Genomic DNA, 9,968 nt, shown 5'->3' on the forward strand with positions numbered 1-9,968 from the left:
AATTTTGTCCCTATTTCACCAGACTCAGTTCACTCAGTGAAAAAGTTTTATTCCTAGAGTGTTTGTCAAAGCGTTGAACAGCAATTGTTTAACATTGCAATTGCCTGAAAATGTAAATATCAGTTGGAGCATACAATAATCTAACCAAACTCTTAAAAAAAATTGATGACGGCTTTAGAAATCCATAGAGGGCTTTGAAAAGCTCCCATACATTCCTGGGGATTACAAAAATCATGCATATGGGCAAGGCCTTATGTATGCACAGGAAAGACCTGAGAGGACCTAATGTTTCATTTGTGGCTGAACTTGAGGCTCTGCACAGAGGACGTGAAGATTAAAGGCAGAATTTAAACTGCTGGAGCGCTGAAAACGTGCTCCAACACACACATGCAAAGCCCATGCATAAGGCTTCAGAGAATTAGCAATTTAAAGCACTTAAAAAACTTTACCCAATTGTTAGTTGACCACTAACCTAACTGAGTAGAAATTTCAGTGGCCACACACAACAAGAAATGCAGAATTAACATAAGTAACTCAGGAAAATCACTAAACAAACAAAAGTACCACCAACAAAAACAAAGCCTAGATGGGAGGAGAGATCTGATTTTTAGAATATGCTATTTTTTATTATTTAAAATGTCCAGATTTTAACAACAAAAAAAGTGTCACTTAAAGAATGAAGAAAGTATGGCCAATTCATATGTTTAAGAAAACAGTCAATAGAAACTGTCCATGAGGAAGCCCAAATATTGGGCTTGGTAGACAAAGATTAATATGAGGTGGAAAAAATTATCTTATTGTGAATTCTTTATAATTAAAATATGAATCCTATAGAGGCCTTTGCCTTCCCTACAGTCTTTTTAAAGGCACTCTTAACCTCTTTGTTCCTCAGGCTGTAGACCAGTGGATTCAACATGGGAATGACTATGGCATAGAACACAGATGCCATTTTGTCTGTGCCCATGAAATGGCTGGAGTTAGGTCGTAAGTACATAAAGATTCCTGTCCCATAAAAGATGGAAACTGCAGTAAGGTGGGAAGCACAAGTAGAAAAGGCCTTCTGGCGTCCTTCAGGTGAGCGCATCTTCATGATGGTGATAAATATAAATAAGTAGGAGATCAAGATTACCAGGATAGAAAAGAGGTCATTGAATCCCACCACAAAAAAAATAACCATCTCACTGATGTAGTTGTCTGAACATGAGAGAGTCAAGAGAGGAGGAGCATCACAGAAAAAGTGTTCAACTACATTGGATCTACAGAAGGAGAGCCTGAAAGTGTTCCCAGTATGAATGGATGCATTCAGGAAACCACAGATGTAGGAGCCTATGGCCAGGCAAGCACATACATTTGTTGTCATGGTGGTGGTGTAATGCAGGGGTTTACACAATGCTGCATAGCGGTCATAGGCCATTGATGCCAGGAGGAAACTTTCTGCAGTGATAAAGGCTACAAAGAAGAAGAATTGTGTGGCACAAGCATTATATAATATGAATTTGTCTCCTGTGAGAAACCCCACCATCACCTTGGGAGTGACAGCTGAGGAATAACCAAAGTCCACCAGGGAGAGGTTACTGAGGAAGAAGTACATGGGGGTGTGGAGACAGGAGTCCAGTAGAATCAATTCAATCATCCCCAGGTTCCCAACCAGAGTGATGAGGTAGATGAAAAGGAAGACTATGAAGAGTGGGATCTGCAGTTCTGGGTCATCAGTTAACCCCACAAGGATGAATTCAGTCACCTCTGTGTTGTTCTCCATTGGGAATTATGTAGCTGCCCTGTAGAAATGAAAAGGCAGAATCAGAATGATAAATGGAGGGAGGACTACTGAGATCAATCAGCATGCCATTTTTTTGCTTTATTCCAGTATTGTAATTACTTGTTTCCAGGAGTCCCGGATCTAAAACATGCCCATGACCGCAAAATGCAACTTTAAATTACAATAATTCATAGAGCATTCTTAATAAAATGATTTTGGAGATAATTCATCCCGAACTCCTAATTTCATAGATTACCGAACTAAGGTACAGAAAAGGAAGATTCATACAAGATCATCAGACTAATTAATTGGAACAGGTGAAATATAAAACCAAGTCACTTTGAATTAAAGCCTTAACTCTTTATCACAAAGAAAAATTCCTTTAAATCTTTTACATTCAGTCTAAACTGGGCACAAGACAGTAATTTATTTAATTGACTGACTGCCTGATGGAGTAATTAAATCTATCATTGTAAGTCAATGTGAAGAATGGAATAGCATGAAATTAGGAATCAAATATACTTACCAGTTTTCTTGGCTTCATGCAAATAACCTACATTTCTGGATCTCAGTTAAATGATAATAACTGGATCCACAAATGTTTATAACTACTTCCAACCCTTAAAAAAATCTTCAAAAAGTTAAAAAGGAACATGACTCTTCAGTAATACCAACCAATTGACCAATCAACATAAATCTCTGGATGTGTTCATTTCTTTATTCTCTCTACAAGCTCTAATTTCGAATGGAGCACCATGTTTCATGCTAATTGCCAGGTTTACATTAATGCAAGAGATACATTTCCTGACCAGATAGATATCTAAACTGATAAATATTATGTTTAAGTTCAGAATATTCTTATTCTCCATTCCCAAGGAGACAGAAGTGTTTTCTTATTTGCTCAGAACTGTGTGATAGATGTTAATCACATCTACACTGTAGACCATCAGTCGGTCCACAATATAGTTTATAAATTGTGTGTCCAATGACCAGATGTTTTTAGTGACAGAATTAGCACATGAGATTAGGTCTCCTCATTCCAATAGTTAGTTGTGCCTTATGTAATTTTGCACATCTCTATTTCAGTGCATTTTATAACTGGCTTGTAAGCCTGATTTCTTCCTCATTTATTAATCACCATTCCTTCTGTCTCTCTTTTTAAAAAAATATTAGTATGGGCTTCCAGATTATGGTAAAATTTTATGTTGATATTCCATTTGACTATCTCAACAATTGTAGAATTAGGAGAACTAATATTATCATATTTCCTGAAAAAGAAAACTGAGAAATAAATAGTTTAACTTGCTCAAAGTAATGCAATCTTATTCTTTGTAAAGCAGGGACTCGAGGCCTTCTTGTGCTTTTTCTTTATGTCACATGATAAGTAAACACATTCTACACAAGTTGGGAATCCCTAATCCAAAAATCCAAAGTCTAAAATGCTTCCAAATCCAAAACTATTTGAGAACCAACATGATGCTACAAATGGAAAATTCCACACATAAGTATGTAGCACATACTTTGTTTCATGTGCAAAAATTATTTAAAATATTATGTAAAATTACTTAGGCTATGGATATAACGTGTATATAAAACATAAATGAATTTTGTGTTTAAATTTGGGTTTCATCCCCAATATATCTCATAAACATGCAAATATTCAAAAATTCTAAAAAATCCAAAATCCAAAACACTTCTGTTCCCAAATATTTTAGATGAGGAATACTCAACATATATAGCCTCTGGATGTGTGAAACAGATAAAAGAAATAGTCAAAATATTAGAGCCAAATCCCTGATTAAACCAAAGGAGAAAGGGGTACCTCGATGCATTTTTCTAGTTACCTCTGCCCCTGTAACTTTGTGCAGACAATAGATTTGATCCAGAGACTTACCTTTCTCCCTGAGAAATACAAAATTCAGGTCCAGCACTTTCATATATAAGTGAATGTCACATCAGAAATTAAGTCCTTTAAAGAAGGAAAACAACTTTTTGGAGACTGTTCTTTAGCGTTTGGCCAAAAGGCTTAAAGTTCTTTAGAGGCAGGGGGAAATTGAAAGAAAAATGCTATTGGCTTTGGAATCAGCTAGCAAGAGCTCTACTCCTGTATTTACTGCCCCTTCTTTGTAGATAAGTCTCTTAACCCATTTGAATATCAATAGCTGAATCTATAAAAAAGAAAATATTAAAAGATAGCCCTAACAACATCCAGCCTGAAAACTGCTGCTATGGTAAGAAAAGAATAGGAAACCTACAATTTCTTATACTTGGTAAGAGGTGATAATCATAACCTCAATTAATATAATAATTACTGGTTTTTTTCCTAAACATTGTTGTAGGCTCTTTGCTATGTATCAGTTTTGGAGAAGGCCATAGTTACTACTAGATGACTATTGACAATCAGACGAATAAATAAATGGTCAAAGTGACTCTGGTTCTGGGGCTGCTCCCTCTAATATGAAGCCAAATGGAATCATATAGGTACTTGATCAGTTGAAAAGTGGGAACCAGGAGGTAATTGTATGGTCATGGAGCTCTCAGGCGACACATACTCTATGAGGTCTACAAAACACTTTATCTCACATAACTGGAAATCAGGTGATTAAAGTATCTATGGGGATTCAGCTCTGCTTGTTGTGGGAGATCATGAGTGTATTTATGTTACTTTCAGTTATTCTCTTGGGTAATGCACAAATTAAGCCACAGCATGTCCTTCAAGACTGTTATTTGACATAAATACTAAGAGACAGAGACATACATTTTATCATTAAATAAGGGATGTGGACTTCAGGGATTAGTACTTCTTTTAATTCACCTTAAATGTTTGAACCATTGAGAAGAAATATTAATTCATCAACTGTTTATTGATTGCAAATGGATTTTAGCCATAGTAATGAGAGCTGAGAACATAGACCCATTCAAAATAAACATCATTCTTGTGCCCATGGTGTTTAAATCTAATGGAGAAGATAGACAGTAAGCAAATAAACCCCGTAAGAAACATGCGTAAATATGCATATTTACACATATAAATACATATGTACATATATATAATTATGTGTGGAATAAGCATGTAACTATACATAAAAATGAGATAAAAAATAAGTCTACTTTATATTGTTTGGTCAGAATGTTTTCTCTGGAAAATTAAGATTTCAGCCAAGTTTGGCCAGGCGCGGTGGCTCAAGCCTGTTATCCCAGCACTTTGGGAGGCCGAGGCAGGCGGATCACGAGGTCAGGAGATCAAGACCATCCTGGCTAACACGGTGAAACCCCGTCTATACTAAAAAATACAAAAAAATAGCCGGGCGTGGTAGCGGGCGCCTGTAGTCCCAGCTACTCGGGAGGCTGAGGCAGGAGAATGGCGTGAACCCGGGAGACGGAGCTTGCAGCGATCCGAGATCGCACCACTGCACTCCAGCCTGGGGGACAGGGGGATAGAGCGAGACTCCGTCTCAAAAAAAAAAAAAAGATTTCAGCCAAGTTTAAAAATGACAAAGAACTAGTATGGAAAAGATCATTCCAAACAAAATGAAATGTATGTAGTAAAGGACCCAAGTTTCAAAACAGTTAACAAAATCTAAAAGAAGCCAGTATGTTTTCTTCATAACTAGACCTCTTCCTTGTCAATTTCTATTTCAGCATCCTCCACCAAAGAAACCTTGACAAACAAAACAAACAGAGTGACACATAAACAAGATGGCAGAATAGGAGATACAATCCTCTTCCCCTCACACAAAAAATCAACCGATAATTATCCATGAATGATAATAGCCTTAGTAGGACTCAAGGGACCATTTAAAAACCTGTAGCAACATAGTGAAATAAAAAATGTGGGAGGGGAATAACCACATAGAAAAGACTGTTGGAGATATGTATTAACCGACATGTCTAGAGATGTCTAGGAACAAAGAAAAGCAAGTTCTAGCATTATCAACCATGTTATGAATGCCACCATTGTTCCCAGCAACCTGCTCTACAGAGAACACTGCCATCTTTCACTACCAAGATAATCAACAGCCATCCCCACCGTGGAGCCCCCAGAAAAGGAAACACTGCTGGACCAATGCTCCCAGAAGGGGCAACTGCTTTGTTGCCCCATGGCCAAAGCCACCATTCCTTCCAATTTTGCACATGCCTCAAACACTGGAGCCACTACTGTTATAGGTTAGCCACACCCCACACCTTAGAGCCCCAGTTGCTGTGTGTGCATACTCACTTCATGCACCAACTCCACTACAATATTGAGCAGCTTGAGGCCCAGAGCCCAGAGTCACGGTAGCTCTGAGCAAACCTACACTCTGGACCCTAGAGCCACTGTATCTCTGCACATGCCTGGACTTTGGCCCCCAGCTTCTCAGCTGCTTTACAAGCATCTGTGCCCCACACACAGTTATCAATGCAGCAGTGGGGCATCTACACCCAAGGCATTCATGTCATCGACACTTCAGACTCCAGAGTGATTATGCCTCTGTGCATGTCCATGCTTCAGATCTTGACTCCAGGACTGTTGCACAAGCACCATGCATCTGATATCAGTGTCACCACAACTACAGGTGTACCCACTGGACACTGTGCCAAAAGTGATCTCCTCAGCCATGATTTCCCTGTGGAATAAAAAGAGATTGAGAAAACCTCAGTGGCCTTCACCACTGAAGACCCCATTAGCTCTTACTGCTGCTATTGATACCCACAGTCTTGGCTTCTAAAATCCCTGCAATCTTCACCAATGCCAACCTAAGTTGACAGAGCAGCACAAAGACTATGCCACTGCACCCTTGCCAGAGCCCAAACCGCCAAATCTCTCCCAGTCAGTGCCATAGCACTCTCCCTTAAGGGAAAGCCTTTTCCCAGTGAAACCAGCACATAAAGTCAGGAAGAGGTGACTGTTCTACCAAATGTGCAGACATCAATGAAGGATAACAGGATATATGAAAAAACAAGGAAATATGTTACCACCAAAAGAATAATATCAGCCAGGCATAGTGGCTCTTGCCTGTAATCCCAGCCCTTTGGGAGGCCAAGGCAGGAGAAATGTTTGAGTTCAGGAGGTGAAGACCAGCCTGGGCAACAGAGCAAGACCCTGTCTCTACTAAAGATAAAGAAATTAGGTGGGCATAGTGGCATATATCTGTAGTCCCAGATACCAGGGAGCCTAAGGCAGGAAAATCACTTGAGCCCAGGAGTTTGAGACTGCAGTGAGCCATGATTGTGTCACTGCACTCCAGCCTTGGGGACAGAGCAAAACCTTGTCTCAAATAATAGTAGTAATAATAATTTCCAGTAACAAGCCCCAAAGAAATGGAGATCTACAAACTGCCTGACAAAGAATTCAAAATAGTTGTCTTAAGGAGGCTCAGCAAACTAAAAGAGAACACAGAGAGACAACAAATTGAAACCAGTAAAACAATATATGAGCAAAACAAGAAGTTTAACAAAGAGATTAAGAATTTAAAAACTCCATAAAGCCTGGAGTGGAAGAATACAATGCATAAAATACCAAATGCAGGTCATCAGCAGAATTGATCAAACAGAAGAAAGAATTTGTAAACTTGAAGATAGATTATTTGAAAAAATAAAATCAGAGAAGAAAAAAGTAAAAAGGATAAAAAGAAATGAAGAAAGCCTATGGAGATCATCATGGCAGAGGGGAGGCAGGACTAGATTATAATTCTGGACAGAGCAGTGTGTGGAGGCTCACATTCTGAATTTAAGCTCCAGATCAACTTTAAGAACAAACCATCAATCTCGAGAGTACCCACAGACCCTCTGAAAGAAGTGGACTGCTCCAGCAGGACCTGGGACACACTCCAAACACCGTGACTGCCCCAACTGCAGAAGTGGGAAAGGGAGACCTCCTGTCCCGAACACACACCCCCCACTAGAGAAATTGAAGGTCTGTTTGTGGGAGAAAGTTCTGACCTTACCTGGAGCTGAGTCAATTTAGAGAGCTGAGTGAAATACAGGGGTAAAAGAAGGATCAGAAAAGTCCTAGGAGCTCGCTAGGCCCCCAAACAGCCCATTCCTGCTTGACACCACAGGGATCCTTGGAAGGGTGGCCAGAAGAGCAGGGGGTAAAACTACACAGGGAGAAGGAAATCTTTAGCTGAGCTCTGTAACAATTTGAACAGGGCAAGAAGCCTCCTGGCCAGAACTTTGGGGAGGGCGCAAATCTGGTGTGCAGATTCCACAGGCAGGGGAACAACCAAACACCTTTCTTTCGAAGATGGGAGGCAGGTAGCCTGGGGCGAGTTTTCAAGCCCGTTTCCCCCACCACCTAAAAATAGACTCAGGGCTGCTGGGGTGGGGCATGGTGGGAGTGAGACTGGTCTTTCAGTTTGTGTGGGAGCTGGGTGAGGCCTGTGACTGCCGGCTTTCCCTGACTTCCCTAACAACTTGCATGACTCAGCAAAGGCTGCCATAATCCTCCTAGGTACACAATTCCAATAAGCTGAGATATCTCACCCCCATCCCCTACAGAAGCCACAGCAAGACCCGCCCAAGGAGAGTCTGAGCTCAGATACCCCTAGCCCTGCCCCACCTGATGGTTTTTCCCTACCCACTGTGGTAGCTGAAGGGCATATAATCTTGGGAGTTCTAGGGGCCCACCTACCACTAGTTCTTCTCCATACTACCACAACTGATGCTCTCTGGAAAGTGTCACCTCCTGGCAGAAGGCCAAAAAGCACAAAAATAGAGCATTAAACTACTAAAGCTAAGAATCCTCACAGAGTCCATTTCACCGCCCCGCCACCCCCACCCCAGCCCCCAGCTACTTGCACTGGAAGGTGCTGGTATCCTTGGCTGAGAGATCCATAGATGGTTCACATCACAGGACCCTGTGCAGACAACCCCCAGTAGCAGCCCAGAGCCAGGTAGACTAACTGGTTGGCTAGACCTAGAAGAAAGACAACAATCACAGCAGCTCAGCTCACAGGAAACCACATCCATAGGAAAAGAGGGAGAATACTATATCAAGGGAACAACCCATGGGACAAAAGAATCTGAACAACAGCCTTGAGCCCTAGACCTTCCCTCTGACAGAAACTACCCAAATGAGAAGGAACCAGGAAACCAGCCCTGATAATATGCTCCAAAAATCCAAACAAAATACTCCCAAAAAATCACACTAATTCACCAATAATAGATTCAAATGAAGAAGAAATCCTTGATTACCTGAAAAAAAATTCAGGAGGTTAGTTATTAAGGTAATCAAGGAGGCACCAGAGAAAGGCGAAGCCCAATGCAAGGAAATCCAAAAAACGATACAAGAAGTGAAGGGAGAAATACACAAGGAAGTAGATAGCTTAAAGAAAAAACAATCAAATTTCAGGAAACATTGGATACATTTTTTAGAAATGTGAAATGCTCTGGAAAGTCTCAGCAATAGAATTGAACAAGTAGAAGAAAGATCCAGAGCTCAAAGACAAGGTCTTTGAATTAACCCAATCCAACAAAGACAAAAAAAAAAGAGTGAGAAAATATAAATAAAGCATCCAAGAAGTCTGAGATTATGTTAAACGACCAAACATAAGAATAATTGGTGTTCATTAGGAGGAAGAGAATTCTAAAAGCTTGGAAAACATATTTGGGGGAATAATTGAGGAAAAATTCCCTGGCCTTGCTAGAGACCTAGACATCCAAATACAAGAAACACAGAGAACACCTGGGAAATTCATCTCAAAAAGATCATCAGCTAGGTACATTGTCATCAGGTTATCCAAAGTTAAGATGAAGGAAAGAATCTGAAGAGCTGTGAGACAGAAACATCAGGTAACGTATAAAGGAAAACCCATCAGATTAACAGCAAATTTCTCAGCAGAAACCCTACAAGCTAGAAGGGATTGGGGCCCTGTCTTCAGCCTCCTCAAACACAATTATCAGCCAAGAATTTTGTATCCAGTGAAACTAAGCATCATATATGAAGGAAAGATACAGTCTTTTTCAAACAAATGATGAGAGAATTCACTATTACCAAACCACCACTAAAAGAACCGCCAAAAGGAGATCTAAATCTTGAAACAAATCCTGGAAACACATGAAAATAGCATAAATCACACAGAACCTATAAAACAAAAATACAAGTGAAAAAGCAAAAACAAAAAACAAAGCACACAGGCAACAAAGAGCACGATTAATGCAATGATACCTCACATTTCAATACTAACATTGAACAGAACCACAGAATGGATAAGAACTCCCTGATCAA

The 9,968-nt window shown here is 40.0% G+C and overlaps 1 protein-coding gene across 1 annotated transcript; it reads right to left on the reverse strand.

Moving 5' to 3' along the window:
• Positions 1 to 601: 601 nt before the first annotated feature.
• On the reverse strand, positions 602 to 3,844 carry OR5B12 (olfactory receptor family 5 subfamily B member 12). Its single transcript, NM_001004733.3, has 2 exons — positions 3,654 to 3,844; positions 602 to 1,778 (listed from the first exon to the last, which is right to left on the reverse strand). Exon 2 carries the CDS (start codon positions 1,757 to 1,759, stop codon positions 815 to 817), a length of 945 nt encoding a protein of 314 aa, NP_001004733.1. The 5' UTR covers positions 1,760 to 1,778; positions 3,654 to 3,844; the 3' UTR covers positions 602 to 814.
• Between the last annotated feature and the right edge of the window lie 6,124 nt (positions 3,845 to 9,968).

This window comes from Homo sapiens, chromosome 11 (genome assembly GCF_000001405.40).
Source record: "Homo sapiens chromosome 11, GRCh38.p14 Primary Assembly".
NCBI lineage: Eukaryota > Metazoa > Chordata > Mammalia > Primates > Hominidae > Homo > Homo sapiens.

Coding starts and splice junctions, on each gene's coding strand:
- OR5B12 (NM_001004733.3), bottom strand. CDS start 1,759: ATGGAGAACAACACAGAGGTGACTGAATTCATCCTTGTGGGGTTAACT.